Source organism: Homo sapiens, chromosome 20 (genome assembly GCF_000001405.40).
Source record: "Homo sapiens chromosome 20, GRCh38.p14 Primary Assembly".
Lineage (NCBI taxonomy): Eukaryota > Metazoa > Chordata > Mammalia > Primates > Hominidae > Homo > Homo sapiens.
Genome location: NC_000020.11, coordinates 57,367,641 through 57,384,089, shown reverse-complemented (window position 1 = coordinate 57,384,089; position 16,449 = coordinate 57,367,641). Strand labels below are relative to the sequence as shown.

The window sequence follows — 16,449 nt, the reverse complement described above, 5'->3', positions numbered from 1 at the left end:
ATTCGGGCCCGTAGGATGCTGGGGATTGTCAGTGCCTTCTTTGAGCTTTGTCTCCTCCCATACTGCCTCCTCTGCACCACAGTCAGGAGGGAAAAAGAATAAAAGATTAAGAATGCAGGTCAGTTCTTTTTCGGGAGCCGATTTACATTTTAAGCAAGTATGCAACAGGTGTTTCTCATTGGCTTTCGAAACAGCCCTCACCTGAAAAAATATTTTTCAATAGATTGATGCAAAATTCACAATAGGCTCTTAGACTGTGGTGATGGTTTCATGGGTGTATGTTTATCTCCAAACTCATCAAGTTGTATAAGTTAAATATGTACAGCCTTTTATATGTCACACTTCAATAAAGTGTAAAAACTCACACAGTCGGCTACGAAACTGTTTACACTGCCCATATTTGCCTTACAGTGACCTAACACCTGTCATAATAAAACCCTCAAAGGTGCAGCCACAACCTCTCCTGGCTTCTCCCATCTCCGTGGGATAAATGTAGGCCGTGAGATAGGGGAACCGCAGTGAGCAGGAAGACCTCGCAGAGCTGTGAAACATTGCCAGGCTCTGATTAACAAGCCAGTACCTTGCAAGGAAATACAATGCTTGTGTTGAGACTGCCTTTCCTAAACACTATAGCCAGGCCCTGGGGTCTGGGGCTTATACAGCTTTTTAAGAGCCTACAAAAATGTTGAAGGGCAGAGAGGTAGAAAGAAAGAAAAAGAGAACTGGCTTGAAGATATTTAAAAACAACAACCCCAGCCTGGGTGTGGTGGCTTACACCTGTAATACCAGCACTTTGGGAGGCCAAGGCGGGAGGACTGCTTGAGCGCAGGAGTTTGAGATCAGCCTGGGCACACACGGTAAAACCCTGTATCCACCAAAAATACAAAAAAATAAAAAATAAATAAAAAACAGAGCCTGGTGTGGTGGTGCACACTTGTAGTCTCAGCTACTCAGGAGGCTGAGGTGGGAGGATACTTGAGCCCGAAAGGCAGAGGCTGCAGTGAGCCGAGATTGCACCACTGCACTCCAACCTGGGAGATACAGCAAGATGCTATCCTCCCCCCAAAAAAACCAAAAACAAACAAGAAAAATCCCCAAATTAATCCGTTTAAGTAAAGGCCTACAAATGTAATACTGGAGACCTCACAAACTATTTAGTGTTCTAATATCCAATCAATTTGAAAACAATTTGTAGCTTTGTAGGAAACGCTGCACTTTGTGAGAAATTCCCTATTATTCGAGGTCATGATTAAGAAATCAACATGGAGTGTACGCTTACGGCCAAATCATTTCAGAAGTAAAATAGGAAAGTTTTTCAAAGAATTTGCCTTCAAAACAATGTGTATTTAAAGCAGGATGTGGGTGCATTTTAATATTTGGTGTGGAGTGGTGGGTGACACCTCCAAAAGTCAGATGACCTAGTGCAGTGATGTCCCAGAGAAAGATGAATACAACATGAGCCACGAATGGAATCTACAATTTCCAGTAGCCACATTTTAACAAATATAAGCAGGGGAAAGTTAAATTATCCAAAATAGTATCATTTGAATGTGTAATTGGTATGAAAATTAATGGCATTTACATTAATTTCAAGAGCATGTGTTTAGTTCATTTTTTTTGGCGCTAAGCCTTTGAAATCTGCTGTTTTAGGTTTACATCTCAATTCCAACGGGCCACAGAGCCTCAAAGTTACTAACACGAGTCTTAAAGTGACCTGTTTGCCACCACCAGGGATTTGTGTTTCCCATATCACGGCAGGGATGATGCTATGGGGCACGGGAGTGCTCAGAGGCCCCCACACCGCGGGCGCCAAGGCTTCAGTGTTCCACGAGGAAACCATCGCGGACATTAAGTTTGAAACAGAAAAATCAGGGTCCCACCTCTGACAAATTATCTCCTTTAGCATTTTCCAAGGAGGCCTTCAATCTAAGTGTGTTATTTTTAAGACGATTCTTCTGACAGCATAAGCAATGTTTTGATTCTACTTCCCAAATATCCTAAAAGCTTAGCAACACAACAAAAAATGGAAGGGGGTGGCCAACACTTCATTTCTTTTAATGAACTCAAGTCTGTGAAACTGAACACAGAAACACATGCTCCAATGTTGGCATTGGGGCCATTCGCGCCATCTGCTGGCCAGACCTAAGCACAACACCCGGCTCCTGGGGAAAGAATCTTAGAGACAAGCAAGATCTCCAGTCACTTGGTCTCTGGACCTTTTTGTCCCGCCTGTATACCGACAGCACAGCCCCATTGAGCAGGAGACTTCTCATGGATGTCATCCTCACTGGCACTCGTAGTAGCAGCTACATTCAAACTCCACATCACGGGCCAGCCACAGGGGCACTTTTACGCTTTAACTCTTTGACTACTCACACAACCATTATGATAGCTACTTTTAATGTCTCCCATTTTACAGATGAGGTCACTGAGGCTCAGAGGGTTAAATCACAGGCTTAAACAAAGGGTAAATCACATGTTAGCAAAGTTGGTGACAGAGTTGGAATTGAAGGTGGGCAGTCCAATTTCAAGTACATGTTTTTTTGTTTTTTGAGACGGGGTCTCACTCTGTCGTGATCTAGGCTCACTGCAATCTCCACCTCCTGGGCTCAAGCACTTGAGCAATTCTCACGCCTCAGCCTCCCCAGTAGCCGGGATTACAGGCAGGTGCCACCGTGCCCAGCAAATTTTTGTATTTTTAGTAGAGACGGGTTTTGCCTTGTTGGCCAGGCTGGTGTGGAACTCTCGGCCTCAAGTGGCCCGCCTGCCTCGGCCTCCCAAAGTGCTGGGATTACAGGCATGAGCCACCGCACCCAGCCCCCTGTTCTTAATTGCAATGTTATAAGGTTATTTCAAATATAATTAATATAATCATCCCTCCCATTTTGGGGAGACCTCAAGTGCAGTTATGGCTTAGTACTTGAGGTCACCGAAGCTAAGAACTCATCCTAAACCATACAAAAAGTGACAGGCACAGAGAAGAATCCCACCCCAGGATATGAAAATATCTCATACATACATAGATTCTGTGATTTTGTGTGGCTCCACTAAAAGAAACGCTCACTGCAACAACTACGTTCATTTCACAACCTACGAATGGGTCATGAGTGAATTCGGAAAAGGCTGGCTTAGGCACTCCCGAGTGTTCAAGAACATGTGTTTAGTTCATGTTTTAGAGTCTCTCCTCCAAAAGAGACGAAAATTTTGGTTGAATGAGAAAAACAAACATTTCCTACATGACTCAATAAAATTTCTTTGAGACAGGGTCTTGCTTTGTTGCCCAGGCTGGTCTGGAACTCCTGGCCTCAAGTGATCCTCCCGCCTTGGCCTCCCAAAGTGCTGAGACTCCAGGCGTGAGCCACCACGCCTGGCCCTTGCTGTTTACCTTCTCTTGGTGGTGATTTTCTGGTGAAAGTCAGCAAGCTCACTGCCAGCAGGCCAGGCACTTGCCGCATCCTTTGTTCTTCCTCTGCCAGAGGATCTCTGGTGTGAAGCTAACCCGAAAACGGGGTGAGGCAGGCGGGTTCAGCTGGCCCCTTTGACTGAGAGGGTTTTCACAGGCAGGCTCACATGCACACGTGCACACACGTGAGCACAGGCTCACAGACAGGTGTCTCACACAAACCCACCACAGCTCCATCCTGCTTCCAACCAAACATGACAGGAACCGAGTGCACCTTCCTGTGCCCACCCTAAATCCCTGCCACCTTGTTGCAGCAGCATCTTTACACAAAGTTCTTCCCATGAGGCCCTGTTCCCACAGTGAGGAACCAAGGAAGCGATGTTACAACAAAGACTGGGAGGAAAGCCAGGCAAAACCAAGCAGAAAATCAAGGGAAAGGTGAGTGTTCATGGTGGCATCCTGGTGGCAGGCAGATGGCAGGTGTATGTTCACTGCCAAAACCCTTTCCACTTTTGTGGATGTTTTAAAATTTTCATATGTTGGAAAAAATTAAGTGAAAGAACACAATTTGTCTTCTCCATGAGGTTTATATACTTTACTTTCAACGAAAGCAGCTCTTAACAGGGTGTGCAGTCAATATTTAATGGCAGGACGGCTTGACATTTAGTGAAACAAAGAGCCAAGATTACACTAGTATCTCTTTGAAGTAGAAGATGCCATCAAACTTATGAATACTTAATGAGCACCTACTGCATGCAACTTACAGGTGCCTGCAAAGATGCTGAAGTTTAAGATGAAGAGTTCCTCTAAGACTTCATATGCATTTTAGGAAACATGAACATAAATATTTGAAGAAGCTTAACGATCTCAGTGAATACTTCCTAGATCCTCATTAGCAAACATGTAGTGTGCTTTTATGCTTTAGGTCCTGGGCAGCAGAGAAATGAGCCTGGGCCTCATCTAGGGTTCACATCCTGGTGGCAGCAGAGCTCCCTCCCAGGTTCTGACAGCCCAGTCCAATCTTGGATTTATGCAAATGTTTTAAATTTGCCAATTACAAAAACTATCCCCTTGGGGAGGTGGCAAGGTCCCATCCTGGGAAAGCGCACTCTAAAAGGCCTGCAATTTAGACTCATTTTCCACCCTAGCCCGTCACTAGGGGTGGTAAAAACAATGAAACTCTGGCTAAGCTAAAGCTGAATATGAAAGTTGGCTGCTGAGATAATCAAGCTTCAATCTCCCCTCACAGCAGTCTTATGCTAGCTAGATCTTCCCCACGTTGATAAGACCACAGGCTTGATTCATAAAGTGAAGAGGAAAATGAGCTGGAAACCGTTAACCTGAAAATTCAGATATTTTTCTAGTGCACCTGCTTTTTTATCTCTAAAAAATAAGTTTTCGGGCTAAAAAAACAGGGCTGGAGAGTGGGTGGGTCTGAATTCATTGTGACCTACCAAAGAATTTAAACCACTGAGTGCAGGTGGTCTCTTCCAGTAGAAAATTTTATTTTCATTGTTTTTTATGAGTAGGCAAACACATCTTACAACACTATCGATACTAGAATTTTACACTCAGCAAGTCAGACTTCACACATTAGTCCAAACAGAAAGGCCTAAGAAGCATTTGAGATCACAGGTGAGAAATACAGTGACAGACCCAAAAGTCACACTTTTTCTCAGCCCAGCTGAATTTCATTTTGAATACTTACCAACCAGGAATTTTAAATTACACAAAATACAAAAGAACAGCCAAACAACCACTACTGAGGGTTCAGGGCAATTCCCATGCAGGGGACCGGGGTGGGTAAGAGTTCAGGGCAATTCCCATGCAGGGGGCTTGGGTTCTAACTTGAAAGTCACGCAAGTGTCACCCACTTGGGCCTTAGGAGGTTACCCACAAATGGCCTGTCACCCAGCACAAGTAACAGTCCCCATTTGAGTCACTCGGAAATCTGAGCAGCAAGGCCAGAAAGCACTGGGGATTTTGAAGATGGGAATGAGGGAAGCAAGGAAAAACACATTCAAACTCTGCCCACCAGGGCTCACAGAGGCTGCCGTTCCGCGCAGCAGAAGTGAGCGCAGCTGGGGACTCCCTTTCCCCTAAGGTTGCCGCATTTCCCAGAGGGTGTCTGAAATCTCAACTCAAAACCCCACGCTGATGCTGGGCAGGACGCATGTTCCTGAGGTTACGGGGTGGGCAAGGGGAGAAAAGGACAAAGGAAGCTCGGGAAGCAATCTGCAAAAGACTTTATTACAAAATACAGCACGGGGCTCACAGACGCTTTTCCAATATTCTCTAACACGTACACTGAAGCGCTGCAAAATCCCTGGCGGTGCCCGCAATCTAACGTCTACAATAACCTCAACCCCCTTAGTTACAGAAAAACTCTGCAACAGGCAGTGGAATGGAGAGACGGCAAGTCGCCGCGGACGCCTGGGCTCTCAGCTGCTGAACAATGACATCGTTTTCTCCAGGGGTTGAAATCCATGTCCATGGCTGACAACCCAACAAGGCTGGGACCCAAATTCGTACAGAGATGAGGCAGAGTGGAGAGAAACAACTCTGGCTGAGCCAGAGTCTCCAGCCACTACTTCTTATTCCTGGGCTTTAGCTCTTCGGCTGCATTACGCAGGAAAATGTAATTTTTTTTCTGGGGATTATAAAATTCATGTCCCTAAAGAGAGCAAAAAACACCAATGATCTTATTATTCAAAAGAAAGTTAGCATTTGTAGGTGCTTTTTCTAGGTGAAGTCCTGTGCTACAATACTGGAAACATATAATCTCTCAGAGAAATAAAACAACAAAGATAAAGTCAAATGCGAAGCAGAACTTCAGTCCTCAGAGAAAGGCCTAAGGATGTGGTTGGTACCAGTGTGTCATCAATGTCCTACTGAGAGAGTCTGTGAGTAGGAACCTGTGAGTTCCTTTTCAACACTGAGCCCCCTTTTAACACCCCAGGACTTTAACGCCAGGATAACTGCCTTGGGTCCCTTGGTCAGAATTAGTTCTGACCTGAGAATGCTTCACAGAAAGGAGGACATCTGACCTGCGGGGTATCATGGGGATGAAGGAGGACACCCCGCCCCACATGGAAGGAGCAACAGACACGGAGCACAGCAGAGGCATGAACGGTGGTGAGTGAGCCAGAGGCGTGTGCGGAGGTGTGCACGTCTGCCCGGGCCCACACCGGAGGGGATGCAGGGCTATACAGCATCGAAAGACCCCCGAAATCAGGATGAGGCCAGACTACAGGGCTGTGAATGGCAGAGGGAGGCCTTTGAACGTTATTCCCCAGGGAAAAGGAGGCTGTAGGCAGGTCAGTGATGTGATCACATTTAAGTTTTAAGAAGAGAGGTGAGTGGGGTGGGCCAGGCAGATGATCCGGAAGAAAGACAGCAGGCAGGAGCCGCAGGTGGGCCAAAGGACTGGAAGAGGGAGGTGGGGCATGGCGCTGGGTGCACTCTGTCACCTGTACTCTGATGACACATTTTTATTCTCTTCCCAACAGGCATGCCAAGAAAGCTCTAGAAGTTTTGCTCAACAGTGACCACTAATTCTCATAATATACAAAGTGTAGTTTTTCTGAACAGTAACTCAAGCAGCAAGCTAATAACATCAATCATATGTGATCATGACTTTGCACTGGAGATAACTGTCCTTGAACTAAGAACAATGAAAAACCCCTGAAGCAAATTTCTCTTTTAAACTAAAAAGATGCTAATTTATGTAACCCCCACAATAAGCTGACATTAACTGCTTAAATGAATGAGATTTTACTTCAATTTTTAAACAGCACTCAAAGCAATTACCTTTCTCACTGCTTTCAATTTACTACATTTTTTAACGCGTATAACGTATAGAGTCCCGCGTCATTTAAGTTAAAATGCAGAATTTTGATGCAGCTGCTGGGATGAGTATGCAAAGAGGAGATTCAATGAAGAGCCCGATGTGGGAGCTGAGGCCTCGGGCTCCACGCACGCCACAGCCTGTCCACCCCCAGCCAGGCAGAACCAAAAAAGTACACTCTTGTCACAAAACTGAGTGCATGGCTTACACAGGTGAATGGATAAACAAATGGCACACCCCACCCGGGAATACTACCCAGCACTGAAAAGTAACGGACAAGTGATTCACTCAACAGCATGGGTGAATTTCAAAATCCTTATGCTGAGGGAAAGAAGCTGGGGCGAGGGGAAAATGTAGCGTAGGGCTCCACTTATATAAAATTCTAGAAAATTCAGACTAGTCCATAATGCCAGAAAACAGATCCATGGTTTTGTGTGTGCGTAAGGGAAGATTACAGTAATATACACAAAAACCTTTCGGGGAGATGACTATGGTGATAGTTTCATGGGTATTTACAGATGTTGAAACTGATCAAATTGTACACTTTAAACAATGACTGTATTTCAATTGTACCTCAATAAAGTTGCTTTAAAAAAAGAACACAGCTTCATGGCTCACACAGCAAACCCTCAAACAGGGAAACACAGAAGCAGCAGCAGGCCTGGAGGGGTCAGAGGGATGGAAGGCAATCAGCTGGACTTCTGTGTCTAAGTTCGGGGCCTCAGGGAGACTCAGGTGCAGCCACGCTCCTGAGACTGGGAAATACTAAAGGTGGAGCGGGCAGGGCCCGAACCAAGGGACGTCTCCAGTCACTGGCTTGTGTGGCAGCAGGTGTCTTGGGAATGCAAAGCGCTGTTTAGAGCCCTGTGGTGGCCCCCCAGGCTGAGATAGCGGGGGGCCAGCAAGGCAAGAGGGGCAGGAGACAGGAGCTGGCAGGAGGACAGGAACCACAGCCCAAAGCAGAATAAACCAGGACATGGCCAAGAAGCAGGGAGGAGAGCTGTATGGAACAGGAAGGGACGGGTGAGTGACCGGCACAGACAGAAAGGAAGCTTCTGGACTGGATGAGGAGGACGTGGCCACAGGGACTCTGAGTACAGCTGCAAGAGGCCAGAAAGTACCTGGCAGTGGACTGAGGAGGGGCCAGAGCACAGGGAACCAAGAGGGTAGGTGCTGACACCACTCTCTCGATAGCCTTAATATACATGGAAATGGTTCCTCGAGCCTTCCATGCTTAGACAGAGGGGAGGAGCTGGTGGACGGGGACAGAAGACAGTGGGAGAAGGCCCAGAAAAGAGCCATGAGGGTGGAAGGAGACGGGGTCAGCGCAGGCAGACATGAGGTGAGCGGGAAAGACACTGCAGGCCACTGGAAGCCCCTCCTATGTGAAGCAGGTGACCTCCCCATCGGAAGCCAGGGCAGGGTAGGGAAAAGTCTAGAAGGCTGTTGTGGGCAAAGGGCAGAGTGGGGTGGGAGGAGAATGATGAAAACCACAAATACAATGATGACAACCTCTCCAGAAGAGCTGAGCAGTGGAGAAACACGCAGGCTGGTTGAAAGCCAACACACTTCCCATGGGGTTGGGCAGAGTACCCGAGTCTACACATTTCACCATCATGCCCAAAGGCCTCAAAAATGCAGCCCCACTCCTGCCAGCTCCTAACTCCCCCTGCCCAAACCACCAGCCAACCAAGCAACCAACAGCACCCAGGCGAAAGCTCCATGACCCGCCCTGCCACCCCCTTCATAAAGTGCAGCCCCCGGCTTGCCTGTGCTTCTGTGCCCAGGAACAGAGCAGCCCGTAATGGCTCACACTGGCCGAGCACTTCCTGTGTGCTGGGTTCTGGCCAAAGGCTGTACTGAATCCCCACAACCATTTGAGGAAGTCCTGCAATTTCCCCTTACAGGGAGGGGACGGTGACCTGCCCAAGGACACACGTGAGTCCTGAGAAGAGTCACAACTCAGGCCTAGGCCTTCTGAACCCAGAGCCTGGCTCTGCTGCCTTGGAGCACCCAGAGCAGGCCCGGGAGTTCTCACCTTTGACCAGTCGTAGCTGGAAGCGTATGCAAATATGTTTCCATTGTGATTGAAACAGCAAGCTGAGATGGGCTGATCTAACTGTTCCGAAGTTTTTAGTTTTGTTCTGGCATCTTTGTCCCAGAAGCTGAATCTACCATCAGATCCCACAGTTGCAAGGGTGCCATGAACAGGATGGAACGCGATTCCATTTACCTGCAAGGATTGACATGCACAATGAGAAGCCAGGCAGAGGGGCGCAGAGAAGGTTCCACCCACGCACACTTCCTGCTTGAGTTAGGAAACAAAGCGCACAGGTACATTTCCTTCCAGCTGCTGCCCGCTGATAGCAAGAGAAACTATCCAGGCTTCCTCCATCAAATGCCAGCCCAGAACCCAATCTTGCCTCCTGTGAGGGCTGCACACCAGAGAAAGTGAGCATGTGGACAGCAAGAAACAAGGAGCAGACCTCAGGAAAATGTTTCTTTTGAGCAAACAGATTTCTCAGTCTGAGCTGTGGGTGTGAACTGTCTACCAGCGCTCCTGAGGGAGGGAGAAGACTCTCGGCAAAACATCCTAAGCTTATGTTCAGAAACAAATACACAACACTGCTAGTTAGGCGGCACGTTAACACAGAAAACAAGGCCAAGTGCGGTGGCTCACGCCTGTAATCCCAGCACTTTGGGAGGCCGAGGCGGGCAAATCACAAGGTCAGGAGTTCGAGACCAGCCTGGCCAATATGGTGAAACGCCGTCTCTACTAAAAATACAAAAATTAGCTGGGCGCCTGTAGTCCCAACTACTTGGGAGGCTGAGGCAGGAGAATCGCTTGAACCCAGGAGGCGGAGGTTGCAGTGAGGTGATATCACGCCACTGCACTCCAGCCTGGGCGACAGAGCGACTCCGTCTCAAAAACAACAACAAAAATCCACAGAAACCTGAAGCCTACAGCATAAGCCACTTATCTCCGGACATGAACACACAAGCTCTTCAGTGATGAGTCTTTTCTGATCCCACAATTCCTCAGCCACCTCCAAGTCTGGTTTCCAGATGTATTACCACGGTTAAAGTGTCTAAAAACGTACCGCATAAATGTCCTGAGGAGCTGAAGTGTTGGTTCCATTAGATCGATGACATTTAAAGGTGAAGTTATCTTTGGCGCTGAAAGACAAAGGTTCATGTAAGTCTTCCTTTGTTAAAAAAAGTCCAGTGAAATCTGCAAGCTGACAGAGTCACACTTACGGGTTCGGGGGGTTGATATAGTGAATAGCAACTCTCCCCTCGATACTTCCCAGGGCAAAACCAGTAGGCTTGTTCTGTTTGTCTTTAAAAATAGCCACACACCGATGCTACAGTTAAAATAAAAAAGAGACATAATCACAGCATAATATAAGATTTCATGACTAACGTGAAGGTAAGTCATTTTTACCCCATGTTTAGGTTTTAGAAGAACCAGAAAAAATCACTCAAATATGATACAGCAGTAAGCATTGCTTTCTAACTCCTTAGTAACTCCATCTAAGCAGTGAGTTTATGACCCAACTGCACACCCTGTGCTCCTCCCCCGCCCCCGCTGCTCGCTCTCCCTCTGCCACCCTGCAAGGCCGCGTTCACGCCAGCAGAGCCCCATGGGCTGCGAGGCAGACAGCGGCCCTGCCTGTGGGGAATGGAGACGTCCCTGGCTAGGCAGACACCCCTCAGGAGGTCACCCGAAGCTTCTGCGCTTCTGCCTCCCCAGCTGGAGGAGGGATGCAGGCTCTGCCGCACCCGTCTCACAGGGTAACAGGGTGAAGGGGACGGTGGGTGCAGTGGCCATGCTACAGACAAGCAACACGCTGCACTTCGCCCAGTGTTGAGTGTGAGGGCCCAAGGGCAGGTCTCTATTCTACAGAAGAACCCAGAAATTCCACTACCCAGCCTCCTGGGCAGAAAAGCCGACCACCCCGAGGAGAAGCCAACTTTGGAGTTACCACTTCCTCCTTCCAGTCGTGGCAACCTGGCCAAAGCTTGGAGGGCCATCCACCCTGCCTAAGCTGGTCATCTGAGCTTCCGTGTGAGTTCAGGGGAAGCCTGGCAGGACCCAGGCAGGGGCCAGGCAAGACGAAGGGAGAAGCAGCCTCTGGCATCGTGACAGCTGCTGGTGATGCACGTTTCCTAAGTACGAAGGAAAACGGCCTCCTCTTTCATTCCTGTACTGTTTGCTCCCCTGCCTTTTTAAAAACTGCCAGACCATTACTTTTGTGAGTACGAAGAAAAAAAGTAAAGCAAACTGACAAACATCTGTAAGTTCTTAGATGACAGAAAAGGCCATGGCTGGTCATCAGCACAGGGTCTACTGTGCGGCACACCAGGAACTGCACAATGCCAGGGGTGTCACTTGCACCAAGAGCCACATGCACTGGCCCTGTGCAAAGGCCGATGGCAATCAGTTCTCAACAACGGAGAGGCCAGGGCGCTAGCACCGGGTGGCAGGAAGTGAAGCCAGATGGGACCAGGTTTTTTTTGGATTCAACCAAAAGGAAATGGGGAGGCAGGGAAGGGCTTAGGCTGGGGTCCGGCAAGGCCAGTGGTGCCGCTTACAAGAGCCCCTGCCTCAGCTCCGGAGGACGCCTTGAACCAGGGCCAAGGTCTAAGTGCTGATTTTACTGTGGTAAGAAGAGTGAACATGAGAGCCACCGCTTAACACATTTCTAAGTCTACATTATTGTTGACTACAGGTACCATGTAGTACGGCATATCTCTAGAACATTCTCATCTTGTTTAATGAAATTTCATCCCATTGATTAAGTAGCTCCCCATTTCCCTCTCCCCCAATCCCCTGATGACCGCCATTCCACCCTTTACTTCTGTGAGTCTATGCTGGATATCACATTTAAGTGGAACCATGCAGTTTCTTTCTGTGTCTGGCTTATTTCATTTTGCATAATCTCCTTCATGGTCACCCACGTTGTCACGAATGGCAGGATTTCCTTCTTTCAGGCTGCACGCACAGCATCCTACTGCAGGTATACACTTCATTTTCTTTATCTGTTCACTTGGCTATTGTGAACAGTGCTGCAAGGAACACTAGCAGTACAGGTCTCTCTTCAAAATACCCATTTTGATTCTTTTGAATCAAGACCTGTAAGTGGAACTGCTAGATCGTATGGTGATTCTGTTTTTCATGTTTTGAGGCCTCCAGTTTTCTGTAACGGTTGTGGCATTTTGCATCCCCCCAACAGTGCACAAGGGTTCCATGTTCCCCACACCCTCCCCAGCGCTTGTTATCTTTGGGCTTTCTGGTAACAGTGGTCCCATCAGCTAGGAGATGGTATCTCACTGTGGTTTTTGTTTGCCTTTCCTTGATAGTTAGGATGTTAAGCACATTTCCATACACCTGCTGGGTATTTGTATGTCTTCTTTGGAGACATGTCTATTCAAGTCTTTGGTCCATTTTTCACGTCACCAGTTTTCTCACTATTGAGTTGCAGGGGTTCCTTACGTATTTTGGAAATCAATCCCTTGTCAGAAATAGCCTCCAGATGTTTTCTCCCATTCCACAGGCTGCCTTTTCACTCTTTTCCATGGTTCCCTCTGCTGTGCAAGAGCTGTTAGTTTAACACAGTTCCACTTGGCCATTTTTGCTTTTGTTGCCTGTGCTTTTTGGTGTCATATCCAAGAAATTACTGCCAAGACCAATGTCATAGAGTTCTGATCTAAGTGCTTTCCAAGATTTGAATTAGATGTGGTGGCAGGAGGGAGGGAGAAAAATGAACAGATTCCCAAATAATTTCAGGGTAGAGGGGAGGAGACTGAGGATTAGTGAGACAGGAGAGGGAAAGTTCCAATCAGGGGTGACCTCAAGATTTCTGGCTATAACAAAGGAGATGGAGGTCCCATTGAATGGGCTGTGAAGCACATCAGGAGCAACAGGCTGGTGGTGGCCGAGAGGGGCAGGTTCAGATCAAATGTTCACTCTGCAAATATTCACAGAGCACCTTTTACACTTAAGGCCCTCCTCCAAGTGCTGGGAGGCAGCAACAAATACAAACAAAAATCTCTGCTCTCATGGAGTTTACATTCTAGTAGGCAAAAGAAGGGAAATATTTAGTATGTATATGACATCCATACATACGTATAAAGTAGATGGTACTGGTGGCAGTAGCAAGGGAGAATCCTGAGGCAAGGGTAACATGTGAATAAAGAGCTACAGAATGTAGTCTTGGGTTTGGTGTGGGATACCGTAGCTTCAGACGCCTGGGAGACACACCAAGGAGCTGTCCGACTGGGTGTCCATGTCAGGAGCACAGGAATGAGGTACGAGTCTCCAGTCCACAGGGCGTGGCTGAGCGACAGTGGATGGGAGATCAGTTGTGCTTGGGTGGAGGAGGCAGCGGCTTAGGGAGATGTCTGTGGAACCTCCACATTCAGCCAAGAGCCAGCAAGGATAGAAGAGCCACAGAGGTAGCGGGTAAGAGGCTGGCAAGACAGCAGCCAGGGGAAATGTTTCTTGTAAGAACAGTGAATGAAGCTCTGTTCCAGTAAGAGGATGGGTGTCCAGGGTCCCCTGGAATTACCAATGAGGATGCCACTGGTAGTCACGCCAAAAACAGTTCTGGTGGAACAATGGGGGGCAAAGGTCTCACTGAGTTAGAAATGAGTGGGAGGTGAGGGAATAAAGGACATTTCATCCAAGATGCCCCACTGCGGAAGGAATAGGGACGCGGGCAGTACTGGAGGAGGATGTGGGGATCAAGGGAGGTGTGTTTTCTAGGATCAACTAGACTTGAGCTAGTGTCAGTGCTAAGGGAGAAGTACTACGCGGCAGGAGAGACGGGTGTATGGGAAAGAGGTGATACTCTGCATACGGTTCCTGAGAAGGCTGGAGGGCATGGGTCCCACCACAAAACTGGCCTTAGCAGGACGGCTTCCACCTCATGGGGGAAAAGGCAGGGGAGGAGGCAAGCACGGGCAGATTTCTAGATCTGGCAGGAGAAAGAGGAGGAAGTTCCCATTAGCTTCTTTTTTCTCTGAGCAAGAGCTGATCTGATTGGCTGAGACAAAGACTAAAGGAAGGAGAAGCTGACAAGAGTGCAGGCCCAGCAGCCCTGTGGCAAGTGGAGGATTGAGCTAAGGTGAAAAAGCTAGCAAGCATCTAGGCATGATGCAGACAGAGTTGAAGTTGGAAGCTAGGAATTTACAATGGAACCAACCCATCCAGATGTGTAATTTTATTCTCAAGGAAACCAAAATATTTTGCCCCAAAATAGACTTCTCTGACATATTTCAAGATGGCTATACAGAAGGGCTGGAAATAATAGCTGAAAAGCTATCTTTGGTGGGGAGATCTGCATCTGCAGAGAAAATCGGCATTGATGCAGCCAGGCTTTCTCCAAGGCCCTTCCCTTGTCCTGATTAGGGAAGATTAACTGCAGTCTGATGCCGTTAAAGGTCTCAGTTCTCTCCGAGGGTGCTACCTGTGGGGTTTCCTCCACATTAACAAGACCACCTTTGCTACACAGACCTCTTCTTCTCTTCTTCCCATAACCTGTCTTGCCACGAGAACCCAATTTACCATGAAAGCCTGTTTTGGGCCATGCCCTGAGCCCCCTTCTTTCTGTGACCTCAAGATGGTATGAAAGCATCAACCATATTGCCTTTAAGATCGTTGTAAGACGCTGTGCACATCAATACATTTGTATGCCATTTCTCCTATTAATCTGTCTTTTACCAGCTACTTTTCAGTGAACCCCTTCAGAGGGCAAAGGAGAAGTTTTCCCTTGGCCCCTACAATTCAGTAGCACTCAGCCATCCAGGGGCATGTTTGGAGAAGACATAAATTCAGTTCATCCAGGGATACCTTAGTATTACTTAATATTCACTCACTAAGTATTTGTGTTTATATCCTTCAATTCACCCCTCTTTGAACATACTTACAGGTTTTACAAAGTACAACTGTATTCCAGATGTGAGCACAATCTTGCATACAACAGGTGCTAAATACATACTTCTTGATTTGACTAATGACGCACCTGATGTTTCAGTGGAGATTCTATCCTCCTGAATTCAGAAGGTTGATTCTCTAGCTGATAGACAATCAGGCCCCTCTCTGCAGTTGCCACCACAGCCATGGGGTATATCTAGGGAATGGAAGAAAACAGAGATGCGCTTCAGGTGAAGGAGTGTGCTGTTTTTATACTAATGTATTTGATCAATTTTTGGTTACAACATTAAGTCTGGATTTTAATAATCCTGGGATTATATTTCACTAAAACCTAGAGAAATAGTATTTGAAAGTAGAACATTCATATATTTTAAAAAGTCTCGTGTTTTAAAACTAACTATAAAATATGTGGATATTTAGAAAATATACTCAGGAACTAAGAATAAATAAAAATCCCCTACACCACTCCTTCAGTTGCTGTCACTATTCCAGCCTTTGTTCTCAGCGTTATACTTGGTATGTAGCATATTTCTGTACAGTTCATATCCTTTACTCAAAACATGTTTCATAAGGTCCACGTCACACACTTTTTCAAGTACTAGCAGTGGCTTCTAACGTCCCCTCAAATGAACCTACCACAGGGTTTATTTATCTGTGTCTTGGTGGCCCCTTAGGCCACTTCCAATGTTTCACTATATTACATAAAACAAAGACCAGCCGGGCATGGTGGCTCACGCCTGTAATCCCAGCACTTTGGGAGGCCGAGGCAGGTGGATCATGAGGTCAAAAGATCGAGACCATCCTGGCCTACATGTGAAACCCCGTCTCTACTAAAAGTATAAAAATTAGCTGGGCCTGGTGGCACACACCTGTAGTCCCAGTTAACGGGAGGCTGAAGCAGGAGAATCGCTTGAACCCGGAAGGCAGAGGTTGCAGTGAGCTGAGATCATGCCACTGCACTCCAGCCTGGCGACAGAGCAAGACTCCATCTCAAAAACCAAACAAACAAAAAAAACAAAGACCATCTGTATCTATGATTATTTTCTTGTGATAAATTCCTAAAAGTGGAATTACGGGATTGTTGGTACAAAACTTTAAGATGTGACTAAACAAATGGAGAAAGTTCCATTTCTTTTTCTTTCCTTTTTTTTTTTTTTTTTTGAGATAGTATCTCACTCTATCACCAAGGCTGAAGTGCAACAGCGTGATCTCAGCTCACTTCAACCTCTACTTGCTGGGTTCAAGCAATTCTCATGCGTC

At 47.1% G+C, this 16,449-nt stretch overlaps 1 protein-coding gene and 1 long non-coding RNA gene across 8 annotated transcripts in view, besides 2 other annotated features; one reads left to right on the top strand and one right to left on the bottom strand.

Annotated features, from left to right (window-relative positions):
• The first annotated feature begins 1,485 nt into the window (after positions 1 to 1,485).
• On the top strand, positions 1,486 to 7,850 carry LOC124904938 (uncharacterized). Its single transcript, XR_007067671.1, has 2 exons — positions 1,486 to 6,538; positions 6,913 to 7,850. It is a non-coding gene; the product is annotated as an uncharacterized LOC124904938 (long non-coding RNA).
• Positions 2,023 to 2,317: an enhancer, noted in NCBI's record as "tiled region #7479; K562 Activating DNase unmatched - State 25:Art". NCBI's record gives its function as "activates a minimal TATA promoter and a strong SV40 promoter by Sharpr-MPRA in K562 cells {active_cell/tissue: K562}" and the evidence as "EXISTENCE:reporter gene assay evidence [ECO:0000049][PMID:27701403]".
• Positions 4,888 to 16,449, bottom strand: part of RAE1 (ribonucleic acid export 1) — a 27,948-nt gene continuing 16,386 nt past the window's right edge. For 6 of the 7 annotated variants that reach the window (NM_003610.4, XM_005260582.3, NM_001015885.2 and 3 more), the window contains exons 8-12: positions 15,278 to 15,385; positions 10,509 to 10,615; positions 10,352 to 10,427; positions 9,289 to 9,483; positions 4,888 to 6,077 (exon numbers count right to left, since the gene is read on the bottom strand). In NM_003610.4, coding sequence (NP_003601.1) covers positions 5,991 to 6,077; positions 9,289 to 9,483; positions 10,352 to 10,427; positions 10,509 to 10,615; positions 15,278 to 15,385 — 573 coding nt within the window. In that variant the 3' untranslated portion in view covers positions 4,888 to 5,990. Of the gene's footprint in view, positions 6,078 to 7,823; positions 7,912 to 9,288; positions 9,484 to 10,351; positions 10,428 to 10,508; positions 10,616 to 15,277; positions 15,386 to 16,449 lie in introns of those variants that run through there. The other variant, XM_011529087.3, reaches the window with a different exon arrangement.
• Positions 8,613 to 9,610: an enhancer, noted in NCBI's record as "H3K27ac-H3K4me1 hESC enhancer chr20:55949536-55950533 (GRCh37/hg19 assembly coordinates)". NCBI's record gives its function as "activates a minimal SCP1, AML or CMV promoter by ChIP-STARR-seq in naive and primed H9 embryonic stem cells {active_cell/tissue: H9 hESC(naive and primed)}" and the evidence as "EXISTENCE:reporter gene assay evidence [ECO:0000049][PMID:30033119]".